The sequence below is a fragment of the Homo sapiens genome, chromosome 20, assembly GCF_000001405.40.
Source record: "Homo sapiens chromosome 20, GRCh38.p14 Primary Assembly".
Lineage (NCBI taxonomy): Eukaryota > Metazoa > Chordata > Mammalia > Primates > Hominidae > Homo > Homo sapiens.
In genome coordinates, this window is record NC_000020.11 from 47,771,350 (window position 1) to 47,787,249 (window position 15,900).

Consider the following 15,900-nt stretch of genomic DNA (forward strand, 5'->3'; position numbering starts at 1 on the left):
CAACCTCTCCTCCTTATTCTAGATAACACATCTGCTCAGTTCTATGTACGCCAGAAACATTGATTTCTTCCCATTTTTTAACCACTCCCAGCTTATTTTTAAGTAGAAAGGAAGCCACCTAACAAACCCAGAAAACCCCACAGAAGAATAAGACCTCGTTTGGGGAAAAAGGCCCCAACCTCCCCCAGCTCTTCCCTTCTGCAGAGGCAAGAAATTTTCCAACTCAGCCTCTGCCCTTGAGCCCTGTGCTCAAAGCCGCCCAACAACATGGAGGTTGCCCTGGAGTCCAGGAGGGAAGGCTGCTGTCCCTGGGAGCCCCTCTCATCAGGCAGGTATTGGCTTGTCAGTGGCAGGATGGGGCGGGGGCGGGGGCAGTGATGATGAGGCTCTGCAGGCTTCAAATGGGGGTGCTGGGCCAGGGCTCCGGGGCCAAGCTTGGAAGGATGCTCATCATGCCTGGCTGGGCAGGAGACCTGGAAACATCTCCCAACCTGCCGGAACTCCGCCTGGGATAACACAGCTTTTCCACCTGGGCCAGAATCAACTGCTGCTAGAGTTTTTTACAGGCAGCTCCCCAGGAAGTTTCTGGCAAGATGGCAGCTTCCAGGGCAGGGGCTCCTGATTTGAGGCAAATGGTACAGCCTGATCTGCTCCGAAAGGGATGACAGGGCTGATCGTTAACCTCTGTGCTCCATCCCATATGCCAGCGTCTCAGAATAAATAAATGAATTTTTAAAAGTCTGGTATAAGTAGAATACCCAAATCTGGGCCTAAATTCATTCATTCATTCCCTTTCTTATTTCAATAAATTTATTTAGAAAGAAAAGTCTATCTTGGAGGAACCAGCACCCATTGCCATAAACCTGGGTCTCTCAACCTTGGCATTACTGCCGCGTGGGCAGGATCATTCTTCGATGGGGGACTGTGCTGTGTATCACAGGGTGTTCACAGGCCTCTGTCCATGAGATGCAAGTAGCACCTACCCCAGTTGTGACAATCAAAAATATCTCCAGACACTGCCAAATGTCCCCCTAGGGGGCAAAACTGCCCCTAGGTGAGAACCCCTGCCATACTTAGATGGCAACAGTATAAAGGCAATGACATTGTGGTTACATTCTTGCTTGCCAAGGCCTCTGCGCTTCCCCTTACATTGGGAGTAGGTCTCCTTGAAGACCATAAAGGAGGAGTTCACGCGATTCCCTCCTTGATGACCCAGAGGCTTGGAGGAGAGCAGAAAAGGAAAAGGGGAAAAAGGAAAAGTTAAAGGTTTTTACGTTGGAAATGGCATTTCCAATGTAGTCCAGGCCCTACCCCGTCTCTTATCCTGAATCTAGGCCACTTCACTCACTCAGGTCTCCTGCCCGACCCTCCTCCTGCCATGACCTGCTTATGATGAGATCAACGCCACTTACGCCCTGTGCGTGGACGGCTAAGATGAAGACTACACCTTGATCCAGTCAATGGGACCTGGTTGGTGGAGGCCACCGGTCTGGCACAAGACTTGGCAATGCAAGAAGTCTGGATGTTGTCTGGTGACCTTTGGAGAGAGATATGTTTGCAGTGGCCTTTGTCTAAAGCAGGGACAAATATGCAAATGCATCCAAGGGTCGGGCAGGAGACCTGAGTGAGTAAAGTGGCCTAGATTTAGGATAGAGATGGGGTGGCGCCTGGACTACACCGGAAACACCATTTCCAAAGTAAAAACTTTCAACCTATTTTAAGCACTGAGCGGGCTCCATAAAGCCCCGCTGGAGCTTGGCCTGGGAGCTATGTGCGACTCTTCCAAGCTATCCAATCTTTCCTGAGCACCTACTATGTGCCACATGCTAAGAAACAGCAGTGGCCACAAGGCAGGCCAGGCCTCTGTCCTCATGGAGCTGTGATACCTTGGTGGAGGAGAAAATGAATGAATGAAGATTGTCTTAAGAGCTTTGGAGGAAGCTGTCAGGTGATAGGATGGACAGTAAATTGGGAAAGGCCTCTCTGGCATGAGGAGGTGGCATAAGGAAATGGCATCTGAGCTGAGAGCAGAGGCGGGCGAGAAGCCAGTTGTGGGCAAAATGCTTTCTATGAACGGAGGAAGTAAGTGCAAAGGCCCTGGGGTGGGAATGTGCACAATGAAACCAACATGGTGCAGCCGAGCACGGCAGTGTGGCCCACAGGAGGCTGGACACCCCTTTGCCCCAGCCCATGCCTTCTGGGCAGGCCACACCCGCTGTCCTTTCTGGCTGTTTAGAGGAAGTAGAAATCAGATACAGAAATTCCCACCTCTGTTCTTTGTTCCTTTGTCTCAGCTGTGGACAAAAGCTTCCCTGGCAGGGAGTTACAAAGTTATTTCTGCAAAAGGCCTTTGGCCAAAAGCAATAAAGTCCGACTTGAACAGAGTCATTATTCACGCCTAACTGTGGGCTGGTTCTCAGTGTAGACTGCCACAGTGGGGACTGACAATTCCACCTTTTTAACCCCCTCCTCCTTTTCAGCCCCACATTTTCTTAGCCCTGCTTACCCCCACAGAACATGTATTTATGTTTCCAGAGATTGTCGTTTCCTTCCAGAAGAATATAAAAGGAATAAAAGGTATTTTGACGGCTTGGTATTAATAATCCAATTACTTCTTTCCTTTTCACCCAATCCACAGGCGAGCGTGCCGTCCTCAGCCAGCTTGCCCCTGCTATTAGCAGATGAGCTGTTCATTAGTTCACCTTGGAAACAGCCCGACACTTACAATTATTTTAGAAGCTGGGGGAAGGAGTCAGAATCAACTTTTACCAAATCACCTGCTACATTTGGAGATGCGAGTGGAGTGCCTTTGGAACGACAGGTCGGCTTCCCAATGTGGCTTGCTGTGCAATCTAATTAGCAGCCGGAAATAGACCGGCAAGTGGGAGGAAAGCCCGGGTCAGAGGCTCTGCGAGCTGAGATTAGTCTGGATCAGTTTTTCCTACTAGCAGCCTCCCCTGCTGCGGGGACTCACTGGGTGTCACCAGGTGTTGGGGTGGAAGGCAGTGTCACTGGTGAGGCGGGGTCTGGGAGGAGGGAGTGCAGGCATTGAGCCCAGGTCCCTCATTACCGCGCATGCTCTCCTTTCAGGAGCCAGAAGCAAACTGCCCCTATCTTCTGGAGGGGGATATTGAGGCATGGCAGGGGTTCTAGGAGTTGACTTTGCCCCGTAAAGTGGAGAGAAGCTTCCAGACCCCCAGCAGCACCTGAGCTATGGGGCCCTGGAGCTGGAGAAGCTGCCACACAGGTTTGGGCATTCTACTTATACTGGACTTTCAAAGTCCATTCACTCGTTTTAAAATGTTCATTGCTCTGCCAGGGGTGGAGTCACCTATGCAGGGGCGGTGCAGAGATTTCTAACAATTTTTGTCCATCTGGTCCCCTTCTTTTGACAGCACCCCAGCTTCCTTTTGAGGACTCCCTCCCCTCTGCCAAGATGCCCCCATCCTCTCTGCCAAGGGGTGATCATGTGACCAAGGTCAATCAGACTTTCTTACCATGTCCCCAACTGTCAAATAAAGTGTCAAGGGCAGAAAGAAAAAGCAGGGGTGCATTTGTCGCATTGGGATGGAAACTCTCCTTCAGGAGGCTGCTAGTAACTCCTGCGCCAAGGTCCCCAGAATTTCCTCAGTTCCTGACCTGTCCTTTCCTGAGCCCCCCAGTAAATCCTGTTCCAGCTTGAGGTAGTAAGTGTTGGGCTCTGCTACTTGCAGTCTGTGATGAATGGGTACTTTGGTGGACTCCAAAAAGCCACACTGCCTGGTATTCAAACCCTTGTGTGGGCCCCACCTCATGAAACCGGGCTGGCTTTGGGACCTGTTTTGACCAAGAGAAGGTGGCAGAAGTGATGCTGTGCCGGTTTTGCGGTTAAGCCTTAAGAGACCGTGGCAGCTTTCATTTTTGCACTCTTAGAAGTCAGGCTACCCTGAACCTGCCATACTGCGAGGAAGCCCAAGTAGCCATAGGGCAGAGCCCACATGGAGAATAACTGAGCTCCCATCTGGTGACCAGCAAGAGCTGCCAGCCATTTGAATGGGGTTGTTTTAGACCTGCCAGCTGATATCACATGAAGCTGAAGAACCACCTGGTCAAACCACAGAATCGTCCAAAATAAAATGTTGTTACCTTAAACCACTGAGTTTGGAGTGGTTTGTTATACAGCAGAAACACAACCCAAGAATCCTCAGTGACACTGATCAGAGCCCATTCCCCCAACAGAAATGTCACAAATGACTATGAGGTTAAGACTTTCAGCCTCTTCGGCTAATGAACACTTGGAGGAGAACATCATTCATTCATTCCTTTAGTCATTCATTCAAACAGCCAGTAAGCCTAGCACAGATGGTACAAAGATGAACAAGCTTCAGGACCTCCTGTTCTAGTGAGGGCATCACACACAGTGCCTCAGTTTCCTTACTGATAAAGTGAAGATGATATTAGTCCCTGCTTCAAAGGCTTGCTGTGATGATGAAATGCTGGGCAAAAAGTAATCAATAGATATTAGACATTATTATTACTACACACTTGCAATGCACAATGTAAGTGTCCAGGGACACTTGCAATGTCCCTGGAAGTGTAGCCATTGGGTACAAAGTGTCACAACGGGAGACAAACTCAAATGCCTACGTGGGCCAGGCAGATAATGTAAACGGGTGAAGTGGACGCATAAGAAAACTCCACACCCCACTTCCTCTCCAGCTCTCATCTGGCCACTTTTGGTAGAGATGGAACAGAGAAATATTGCTCCACAATGAGAAAAACAGAAGGGAAAGTGCAATGAAAAGCCAAATGAATTGGTTCACAATGTCAGGCTATAGGGGATGGTGGGGACCACATCTCCCCATTTTTCAGGAGAAGCTGAAAATCCAGATTTTTAAAATGTGAAATCTCGTAGTTGTTACAAATCTGACAGCTTTTTAGAAGGTTCAAACAAAACATTTCTGCGAGCTGAACAGAGCCCCTGGTTAGGTGGCCTGTGATGTCCTATTCTACCAGCATGGCAGAGCAAGGAGAGACTTCGTTGTGTCTCTTTCCTCCTTTGTAAAACGGGGTTGGAAGATCCCCACATCGCTGAGTTATTCCACATTCACAGGAGCGCGCACTTAAACCACCACTAGCCTGTACAAAGTGCTCGGTAAATGTGAGCTTTCAGGAGGGTAGGTTGGGGAGTGGAGGTTAAAGAGGCTGCTCTCCTGGGCTGTGACCGCTGTTCTTTCAGGAAGGGACAATTTAGGGAAGGGAGTTGTCTTTTCAAGGGCACATGCAGAAATATTTAACCCAAGAGCCCTCATTAGAATGTCACACCACTGACCTGGAAGACTAGCTTGGCCCCAGAGTCATCAGAAGTGGAGGGTTCCACCAGCCCTTCTGCAAGGCCGTGAGGTCCCTGCCGTGGCATAAAGGGGACGATCCTTCCTCTGCAAGCAATGCTAGCACAAAACCCCAGCTCTGGCACTGGGGAGCAAGTGAGTGTGTATGAAACCAATCCTCCCAGCCACCTGCTTAGCTTTTTGCAAATGACTAACAGGTTTTGACATCCTTGCCCTGAGCAGTCACCTTCGAGCAAACATGCTAGCCAGATGTGCCTGTAGCTCTCCAAGCCTCTTTCTTTTCTTGCTTCCTTCATTCAAAAAAAAATTTACTGAGTATCCAAAGAGTGCCACCCTGGTTCTCAGTGCTGGGGATACAGCGATGAACAAGACAGACAATGTCCCTACAAGCACAGAGCTTGCTTTTTAGTGAGGAGAGAGAAGACAAAGGACAAATAAGCAAACCAGGCTAATTCCAGAGAGTGATAAGTGTTATAAAACATAAAACAGGTTGTCCTTCCAGCATTCTAGGGAGGTGACATTTCAGCTGAGATCCGAAGCATAGGAAGGAGCCAGGTCCTTTCCCAGTGTTTGATTTAGAGGTGAGTGCAAAACCCAACTCCGGACCAATGAAACAGAAAGCAAAGTCTGCTAGGGTGGGAGTGTTCTGGCAAGGATTTTACTCTCTGATTAAAAGAGAGACAGCAAGGAGTCCTGTCCTATAGTCCCACTTTGTAGGGTGATGCGACGTCTGGAGCTGTGGCAGCCATATTGAGACTATGAGGCAACAAGGCCAAAGACATGATGAGGACAGAAGAAGAGGCTTGAAAGATCCTGGGACCTTGGATGACACTGTTGTACTGAAAAACCAGCGCCTGGACTCCCCTGCTTTGGACTTGGTGTTATGTGAGAATTAAATGTTTCTATTGCATAAGCCACTGTCAGTCAGAAATGTGATTCCTCATAATGAAACCATTTCAATTCACATTAAAATGATCAGGACTCTAAGCTACTAAGAATTATAGTAGGCTTTCCTGGTCTCTGAAATATCCAGATAAGTGGCCTGCAATCAGAAGTCTATGGATAGTATCTGTCTCGAGAGCAGACCAGAAATGTGGCTTTCAGATGGTCTGATTTTCACCAAGCAGGAACATCTCCAAGGCTTCTGTGAGCTAACAGTTTTTTCAATCTCTTTTCAAAAAGTTCCAGGCCAGGCAGGGTGGCTCACGCCTGTAATCCCAGCACTTTTGGAGGGTCACTTGAGCCCAGGAGTTTGAGACCAGCTTGGGCAACATAGCAAGATCTCATCTCTACCAAAAAAAAAAAAAAAAAATTAGCTGGGTATGGTGGCCTGTGCCTATAGTCCCACCTACTTGGGAGGCTGAGGTGGGAGAATCACTTGAGCTTGGGAGGTTGAGGTGGTAGTGAACTGAGACTGTGCCACTGCACTCCAGCCTGGATGACAGTGCAAGACCCTGTCTCAAAAACAAAAAAGCTCCTCTTCTCTGGCTACTGGGGTGGGTCAAGTCACCCGCTGGGGTCCTGACCATGAGCCAATAAGAAAAGCTATTGGCCACATTCTTCCCCTAACACATCTGGCTTCCACATGGCCAAACACATCTTTGGTACTATTTGTGGTCCCTGGGGATGGCCCTGTCCACCAACTTACACACACAAGACCTGGCCATAACAACTCTGAGTTTGGGATAGAATTTATCTAAGATTCAAGCTGGGCCCAGGTGTGCAGAGCAGTGGGCCAGGCCTTCTGTAAGATGACGCTCCATGGCAGAGGCCAGGGCCACTGGGCAACGTGTGCTTTGGAATCACATTAAGAGAACGTGGGGAATTCAAAACATTCTGGTTACAGAGAATTCCAAGAAGCCCTGGCCTGGGCTGGAGGAGAAGCTCTGAAGGCCATGCCAACAGCTGTTCCACCCAGAAGGCATCGTGCTGCCTACAAGGCCCGAGATCCCACATGACCTTAAGCAATTTCCCAAGGGCATCTGTGGCAGAGCAATGAATATTTAGCTCTGTCTGTTAATCACTGAGAAACCAGGCGATGAAGAAGGGGAGGCTCAGCCCGAGCCTTCAGGAACTTCTTGGAAATGTCAGAGAGGTGAGCATGTGGGATATGCTAAAAATATTCATCAAATAGATTCATGACAGGCACTAGGGGGAGGCTGGGGGGAGAAAACCACACTAGAAAACAAAACACATTCTCTCTGGATAATTGTGTCCAGTCCCACAGCTTAAAATAACATCAATATGCCGATAACTCCCAAACTTAGGTTGCCAGCCCCGACCGGCTGCAGACATCCACGTTCACCACCCACTGAGCTTTCAGACATCCAGGTGGGGTTCATCTCAAACCCAACATTTCCACGTCGGAATTCCAGATCACTCCTCCTCCCCAAAACCTTCTCTCCTATCTTCCCTATTTAGCAATCACCACGCACCAGGCTGCCTAGTCACCTTTGACTCCTTGGCAGGATACATCATGAATATTTGGGCTGAATCATTTTTCACTGTGGGGTCATCCCGTACATTGCAGGTTAAGCAGCATCCCTGGCCTCTACCCTCTAGATGCCAGTAGCAACCCTTCCCCAGTTGGGACAACCTATACTGTCTCCGGATAGTGTTAAAATGTTTTCTGGGTGTCAAAATCACCCTCGGTTGAGAATCAAAGCCCTTTCCCTCACTCTGTAATCCAATCCACTAGGAAGTCCTGTGGGCCCTACCTCCAAAATACATCTCCAATCCCCATTTCACTCCATCTCCATTGATACCACCACGGTCCAAGCCACTCTCGGGCCCTCTCTGTTGCCTAACAGTCCCGGTGATACCACTTCCATCTGCACAGCACGCCTCTCACAGGAGCCAGCAGGATCTTCTTGAAACACAAATCATATCATTCTCTGACTTAAAACCCTCCAATGGTTCTCCATTTTATTTTTTAATTTATTTTTGAGATGGAGTCTTGCTCTGTCACTCAGGCTAGAGTGCAATGGCACAATCTCAGCTCACTGCAACCTCCACCTCCTGGGTTCAAACGATTCTCCTGCTGCAGCCTCCCGAGTAACTGGGATTACAGGTGTGCGCCACCGTGCCTGGCTAATTTTTGTATTTTTAGTAGAGATGGGGTTTCACCATGTTGGCCAGGCTAGTCTTGAACTCCTGACCTCAGGTGATCCACCCGCCTTGGCCTCCCAAAGTGTTGCGATTACAGGCATAAGCCACCGCGTCCAGACAGTTATCCATTTTATTTAAAATAAAGTCTAAAATTTCTTAGCATGGCCTGTATTTCTCATCTCTGACGTGCCCTCCCCCACTTACTCCTGACCCTCTACCCTAGTTGACTTTTTTTTTTTTTTTTTTTGAGACAGAGTCTGACTCTGTTGCCCAGGCTGGAATGCAGAAGTGTGATCCCGGCTCACAGCAACCCCTGCCTCCCGGGTTCAAGTGATTCTCCTGTCTCAGCCTCCCAAATAGCTGGGACTACAGGCACGTGCCACCACACCTGGCTAATGTTTGTATTTTTAGCAGAGATGAGGTTTCACCGTGTTGGTCAGGCTGGTCTTGAACTCCTGACCTCCAGTGATCTAACTGCCTCAGCCTCCCAAAGTGCTGAGATTTCAGGCGTGAGCCACCACGCCTGGCCTACCCCACTTGACTTCTATTTGTGTTTGGGGCAGGTGTCTTGGACAGGCCCCTCCCACCGCCTCTGGGCCTTTGCACTAGCTGTTCCTTCTACCTGGCATGCTCTTCCCCCAGATCTTTCCAAGGCGGACTCCTTCCTAAAATCTAGGTCACAGTTCAAAGGTCACATCCTCACAGAGGCCTCCCTGACAGCCTGCCTAAAGTTGCCTCCCACCCCATCACATCATGCAGTCATTTTTCTTTTAAATTTTTTTTTGAGACTGAGTCTCACTTTGTTGCCCAGGCTGGAGTGCAGTAGTGCGATCTCAGCTCACTGCAACCTCCGACTCCTGGGTTCAAGCGATTCTGGTGCCTCAGCCTCCTGTGTAGCTGGAATTACAGGCAAGCACCATCACACCTGGCTAATTTTTGTATTTTTAGTAGAGAGAGGGTTTTGCCATGTTGGCCAGGCTGGTCTCAAACTCCTGACCTCAAGGGATCCTCCCACCTCGGCCTCTCAAAGTGCTGGGATTATAGGCATGAGCCAGCACGCCAGGCCTAGAGCATTTTCCCCGCCTTCTGACAGCCCCTGCATTAGGCAGGAAGACAAAGAGGCCCACGCTCCAGAGCTCTCTTCGCCAAACCCTCCTGCTGATATAGAATATACACATGACATATTGGTCATGCCCCCCAGCATCCAGGACCCTCCCTAGAAGTTTGATTCAACAGGATCTGGTCTTTGCCTTTTTAAACAAATACAGCCAGATGATTCTCATGGTGGGAGGTTAGACAAACACTGCCCCTGGCCCCCCGAAAGCACAGGATCAAGGCCAGGCCCCATCCTTCAGACAGTAAGGCAGAAAAGTCAGGCCTTTGATGCCTCCTGGCCCTGGTGGAAGGGAGAGGCATTGCCCAGGCAGCGTGTTTCCCCAGTCTCCACCTTGGCCAAAATGAAGATGGGTCCATCTGGCCAGCATTGCTCACATTAGTGGCCCATCATCGCAGGCACTGGCCATCTGCCTCTCCAGCAACCGGGCTTCCCTTTCACTGGGGACTCCCCGTGCTGTTTTATTCCAGGCTTTGGGGTCTCAGCAGTCAGCCTCCATCCAGCTCCAGGGAGAGGCCTGTGAGCCTGGCTTAAGCCAATTGTTGGCAACTCATTTCCTTAGCCAGTGACTGGTTTGGACAAAAAACAGTCCAATCAGAGGGAACCATGGGGCTCAGGTGTGCATTGCCAGATCAGAGGCTTGTTCTTTCCTTTTGGGCTTAAACCAGAGGGGATGAGACCCCTCTGCTCCATGACATCTGTCCTGACACCTAAGTTATGGTAACAGTCAATGCCTACTGAAGGCTCACCTGGGTCAGACGCCCTGCTAAGCACTTGACATTGATCATCTCATTTCATGCTTACCACAAGCAGGAGACAGGTGCTATGATCATCATCATTTGTTGGATGTGAACATCAAGGCACAGAAAGGTTAAGTAGCATGCCCCAGATCCCACTGCTGGGCAGGGAGCCAGGCAGTCTGGCTCTCCTAGCCACGGTGCCCACAGCTGCCAGGGACTGCCCGCCCCAGAGCTGGAGAGACATCAGCCTCATGGAAGGCAGAGGAGCGGTGGATAGGAATGGATTCTCATTACAAAATCTGAGCTGTGGGTCCAGCTGTGTCTGAAGCTAGAGTTAGTCACCTTAAGACTTTTGGTTATGAAAACCAGTAAGTCCACTTCTTTTCTCCTTAAGCTGGCTTGAGTTTTTTTCTTCTCTTTTTCCGTTGCTTGCAAGAGAAAGGAACCTGATTACTTTACAGTTCTTCTAGGCAAGTACCCCTAACTGATACTCCATTTGCAACTTGCACACAGCAGCTGCTCAGTAAACACCAGCAGATACGGATGGACTGCTCTCCCTTCCGGTCCATTCACTGCTGGATCTGTACCCTGACACCCAACTGTGGCCAGCCCAGCGCTTCTTCCCCTTTAGGCTCCAAGTGAGGCCTCGTTCCCTAGCAACCACCCCAATTAGGCAACCATGCCATTTATCGGGATGCCAATTAATTATAACGATCTTAATGCCCTCCCAATTAGACAGTGCCTTCAATCCGGCTGGGCCAGGGCTGTCTGTAGATCTCCACCAAGGCCCATTCCAAGGAGGCCCAGAGAAAGCAGGTTTCAGGGAGGGCCCCCTCACCTGCAGATCAGCATTGAGAGAGGCCCCCATCTTCCACATCCGCCCAGGCCTGACACAGAGCACCCTGGCACCACCCCCAGGGCCAGGCCATCGAGACTCCATCACCAACCACAGGAAGGTCTCACCTCTAGGAGAGCTTTTGCTCTCTGGCCACTGTGCTCTGAGTGGGCTGAAATCTTCACCATGGTTCACCTGGCTTTTCCATCAGCTGCATTTGATGTTTCCCTTTGCATTTTGACTGGGGGAGGGGACAGTGTGTCTGCTCATAAGCAGAAGAAAAAGCACCAGGCAGACACATGTTTTCCTTGGGGCAAAAAACCTCAAATACAAACCCGGACTCTCTGTCGGAACAGTGGGGGTTTATGGAAAGTTAAGGGCCTTTTACTTTGCAAAGTTTGACTGTCTGAAGGTGTTTTCTTCCCCTGCATATGTGTTTCTTCTACATCTGGGACAAAGGCCAAGGTCATGGAGGAGAGTCCAGTGGTTCCAAGTGGACCCCGGAGCTTGAGGGCCTCTTGAATCCCAGCTCTACCTGTGACCAGCTGTAGGCAAGTCACAATCCTCTCTGTGCCTGTTTCCTCATCTTTAATATGGCAACAATGGCAGTACTTACTTAACAGGGTATTTGTGTGGATTTAATGAGTAAGGTATAAGGGCTTAGATCAATGCCTCAGATCAGGCCCATACAAAACTACTTAAGTGTTACCAATTATCTTAAGTCTGGACTAAACCTTTTCTTTTAACTACAAGCTGGTCAGAAATGCTGATATTTTTCTGTAGGACAGGGCTTCTGGACTCCTTCTGCAGGACTAAAGTCTAAGGTCAGATAATGGCCAAAGCTTGACAGAGTTGGGTGATATTCTGCCTGGTTAACCCAGCTGCCCTCTTGAGGCAGGTCCAAGCAGATAAACTAACCAGTGCCAGAAAAAGTGAGAAGGAAATGTTATCTCCCAAATCAGGTCCAAATCAGGTGTGAAACTGCATATCAACTGGGTTCTTTGGACAGCAGCTGAACTGGGGGACATGCACGTGCATGCACACACACTGCTATGCTGTCCTCCTCCAAGACCAGACTTTTACAGTCAACTCATCACTCTACTCTCAAGTTTGAAAATTTAACATGTTATTAGGGTTTCAGAAAAAGCCATAAATTCAAATAAAAAACCCAAGAAGTACACACAAAGCCCAAACCCCAAACCCACATTGACCCTCAGCTGCAGCAGTGATGCCAACATCACGGCCTTTATGTATATAAATTTAGCTGGGGAAGGAAGAGGCCTTCATGTACAAAGGTCCAACATGCCATCTGCCAAGCCCACCACCTTCGCCTTTCAAGCTGCTTATTAGAACGCTAAATTACACATCCGACAGGCTGTCTGGATGAGTTTTCTCTTCTCTATGATGTGGGAGAGACGAAGCTGGGGAGAACATCTCTTACAGGGAAGGGGCCCCCTTCGTTCTGTCCTCCCTACCCCGTTCCTATACTTAACGATTGGCTCTAATTTAATTAGAACCCTCTGGTGGTTCTGTAATGGGAGGCAGAGGCTGTCAAGAAATCACCTTCACTATTCACTACAAGCTGAAATTTGGAGAGCGCGCAGATCCGGGGGTGTCCTCCAGAGAAAGCCCGTCTCTCCTGCTCCCTGTCTCCCCCTGAGAACCTGCTCCAGCGCAGCCTCCCCTTCTCTGCCCCAAAAGTGGGGGTGGACCCGGTGGGAAACAGGCAGGGGACAGATGGAGGGGCGAGAGGGCGGGTGTCCCAACACGCACAGATGAGCAAATACCCAGATTGAAACGTAAGCTGAATGTAATTACTTGGTTAATTAAATATTGACTTTTAACTCAAAAAGTGATTAAAACAAGCTGCAGGAAGACTTTCCAGAAAGGGGGGCAGGGAATGAATCAAAGCTTTCAAGGGGGAGGAGGAGGAGGAGAGGGTCGTCACAGGCAGGTCTGGCTTGCTCTTCCTACTGTGTGCTGGGCCTACTGCGTGCAGGTGGGGGAGTTGCGGACCGAGGCCAGTGTGCAAACTAGGATTGCAGGCTTCCCTTTCCATCTTCCACCCCGAGACGGCATCTCTCTACCCTGCTGCCCTCCCAGTGAACCGGCAGCTTCTGGCGCGCAGGAGCCAGATCCTGTTCAGCCGCGTTTCCCTGGAACAGAACGCGGTGCCCGGCACGAGGGGGTGCTCCAGAAATGCTTGTAGAACGAATGAACGAACTACTATAAGGAATGTTTGGAAAAGTGCACTCCTAGAATTCACCGCTAGACTTCTGAAACCCCGAGGAGCCGGGGAGGGGAGCATCCCTCCGCCAGGCGATGGAAACTCGTTCTGCCCTGGCCTGGGAGGAAGTCTGCCTTTTCGATCCTGTTTGTCCTTTCGGTGTCTGCGAGTTTCCAACCACTCTGAAGATCCGGCCCACTGCTTCCCCGAGTCCTGCCCGGACAAGCCCCACGTGGGCTGGCATCTACCGGTCCCTTGGGTCTAAACCCTAAGGGTCAACAAGGCCATGCCCCTGCGGATGGCCGGCCCAGGCGCGCTCCCCTACCCGGGGCCGCCTGTGCTCGGTGTGCCGTGTCCGCGGGTCAGGGGCGCGGCGGGAAGTCCTCGCCCGCCCGCCAGCCAGCGGGGTCAAACAGGTCATCCCTCTGCGGACGGCCGGCGCCGGAGCCTCCCTCCCGCCCGCCCGGACCCACCTCCGCAAGCAGCGCTGGGGCTGGAGCCGGGCGGTCCGGACCAGCCCCGGCTCACCTGGGCGGCGCTCGCGGCCGGGCTCACGCCGGGGAAGGCTCCGGCCGCCGCGAGCCCCCGCCCGAGCCCCGCGTCCCCCAGCCACCCACCTGCCCCCCACGCCCCACTCACCAGCGCGCACGGCCCCGGCAACCTCACCCGGAGCGGGGCGCCGCCGCCGCCTCTGCCGCAGCCCGGCCGGGCCGCTGGGCGCAGGGGACTCCGCGCCGCCGCTGCCGCTGCCGCCGCCGCCGCCGCCGCTGCCGCTGCTGCATCCCCCGGCGAGCGCTGCTGCTCCTCCTCCTGCCTCCTCCCCGCCCCCCAACGCCGCCGCCACCGCCCCCGGCCCCCTCCCCGCGCGCCGCCCCAGCCAAAGTCCGGCTCCGCACCCCGCCCGGACCGCTCTTAAATCGCCCCAGCCCGGCCGGCCACGCTGCCCCAGCCAGCCCCTTGGCACGGCGCTACCGCCCCCCGCTCGCCTGCCCGCCGGCCTCCACGCAGGGGAGGCGGGCGCGCTCCGGGGCGGGGAGCGTCGGGCCGGGAGCCGCGGACGGCTGGGGCCCGGGGCGCGGGGGGCCCAGCCGCGGTGCCCTCCTCGAGCCCTCCGCGCGCTAGCGCTTTTACCTCCGGCCTGGGGGACGCGCGGCCCGCGACCCGGCCCTGCCTGTCCCCGGCGCACGGCCCCGGCCCCGGCCCCGAAGTCCAGCTCCGGACGGGGCAGTGAACGCAGAGCTGGGGTCCCGGCGGCTCTCGACCTCCCGATGCCTCCGGACTCGGCTGGCCGCGCTCCCGGCGCCGAGCGCGCACCCTCGCCGGGACACACAGACGCACACTCACTCGACACACTCTCGCTCCTGCTCGCCCTCGGCGGAGAGTTGAAACAGATGTGGGATTCGCCCAGGAGCTGGAAACGAGGGAGGGAAGCGAGCCAGAGCCTTGTGTGCACGTGTGTGTGCGTAACACACAAACCAGGGGGCATCGCTAATAAATCAAATATCGTGATAAATTCAGGAGGGCCATCGATCAGGTCCACTTGGCTGGAAACGACGTGAATCTGCCTCTTTTCCGCTTTCTTCTTCTCCTCTCTCGGAGCTGGAGGGAGCCAAATGTTCCGCGGGGAGTGCGACAGCCCCGGCCGGGCGCTCCCCTCGTAATGACACGTTAATAAATGTTTTCTTTTATCTGCTTTCACAGGACTCGCCCCGGTCTGCAAACACTCGACTGCCTTTGCCGAAAGCCTCGCGCTCGCCTCCAGCCACACACATTTGCCATTGGAGAGGCCGGCGCCGGCCGCGACCCGCAGCTCAATCGCAGGGCAAACCGAGCTGCCTGTGCGCGCCCGAGAACTCCCCGAGAAATTAACTTCGGCTCAAGTGAAAATAGCAGCTGTTGTCCAGAAATGGCCCGGGAGTAGCATAGAAAGGAGAAACCGGCTTCCTCCGAAAGGGGAGGAATTGGACTCAAGGGGGTGCTGTCTACCGTGGTTTCCGCTGTCCCTCGCGCCACAGAAGAGGCCGGAGGGGGACCGGCCTGACGCGGGTGGGCAAAGAGCGGGCAGAGAACTCACCAGCAGCTGCAGAAAACACAGCCGAGTTGCTAGCTAAGGGGAAACAGACGCCGCTGTGGGAAAGCACTTGTAAACAGCAGTAACTTATTAAATCTTGTGACAATCTCACACAGTAAGTTACTATGCCCGTTTTACCATGGAAACCAAGAGAGGTTTAGTAACTGTCCGAAGATCACACAGTTATAAGTGGTGGATCCTGTGAAGCCAAGAAGCCTTAGCTCCCGGCTCATGCTCTTAAATCCTAGGATGTTTTTACTTTTCAACCTAGCATCTCCTTTCTCTGATATGATCCTCCATGGTAGAGTTGTCAGACTTAACAAATAAATATAGACATCCACGGGGAGGAAGTTAGTACTAAAAAATCATTCATTTTTAAATCTGAAATTCAAATCGGATCTCCTGACTGGGTTTGGAGCTCTAGGCTCCTCCCCATAACCTCTGTTAGCCACGCCAATCAAGTTAGAGCCTAAAT

The 15,900-nt window shown here is 52.1% G+C and overlaps 1 protein-coding gene and 2 long non-coding RNA genes across 17 annotated transcripts in view, besides 2 other annotated features; 2 read left to right on the plus strand and 1 right to left on the minus strand.

The window, feature by feature from the left end:
• SULF2 (sulfatase 2) overlaps positions 1 to 15,278 on the minus strand; it is a 129,222-nt gene extending 113,944 nt beyond the window's left edge. For 7 of the 15 annotated variants that reach the window (XM_047440296.1, XM_047440295.1, NM_198596.3 and 4 more), the window contains exon 1: positions 14,699 to 15,278. The gene's annotated coding sequence lies outside the window, so the exon portion shown is untranslated. Of the gene's footprint in view, positions 1 to 13,993; positions 14,133 to 14,485 lie in introns of those variants that run through there. The other 8 variants (XM_047440300.1, NM_018837.4, XM_047440298.1 and 5 more) reach the window with 2 other exon arrangements.
• On the plus strand, positions 2,741 to 8,305 carry LOC124904922 (uncharacterized). The gene is made up of 3 exons (XR_007067620.1): positions 2,741 to 2,821; positions 3,091 to 3,247; positions 3,396 to 8,305. It is a non-coding gene; the product is annotated as an uncharacterized LOC124904922 (long non-coding RNA).
• Positions 11,091 to 11,150: an enhancer, noted in NCBI's record as "active region_18007". NCBI's record gives its function as "activates an Ori minimal core promoter by ATAC-STARR-seq in GM12878 lymphoblastoid cells {active_cell/tissue: GM12878}" and the evidence as "EXISTENCE:reporter gene assay evidence [ECO:0000049][PMID:35858748]".
• On the plus strand, positions 14,405 to 15,536 carry LOC124904920 (uncharacterized). The gene is made up of 2 exons (XR_007067618.1): positions 14,405 to 14,813; positions 15,056 to 15,536. It is a non-coding gene; the product is annotated as an uncharacterized LOC124904920 (long non-coding RNA).
• Positions 15,250 to 15,419: an enhancer, noted in NCBI's record as "active region_18008". NCBI's record gives its function as "activates an Ori minimal core promoter by ATAC-STARR-seq in GM12878 lymphoblastoid cells {active_cell/tissue: GM12878}" and the evidence as "EXISTENCE:reporter gene assay evidence [ECO:0000049][PMID:35858748]".
• Positions 15,537 to 15,900: the final 364 nt, after the last annotated feature.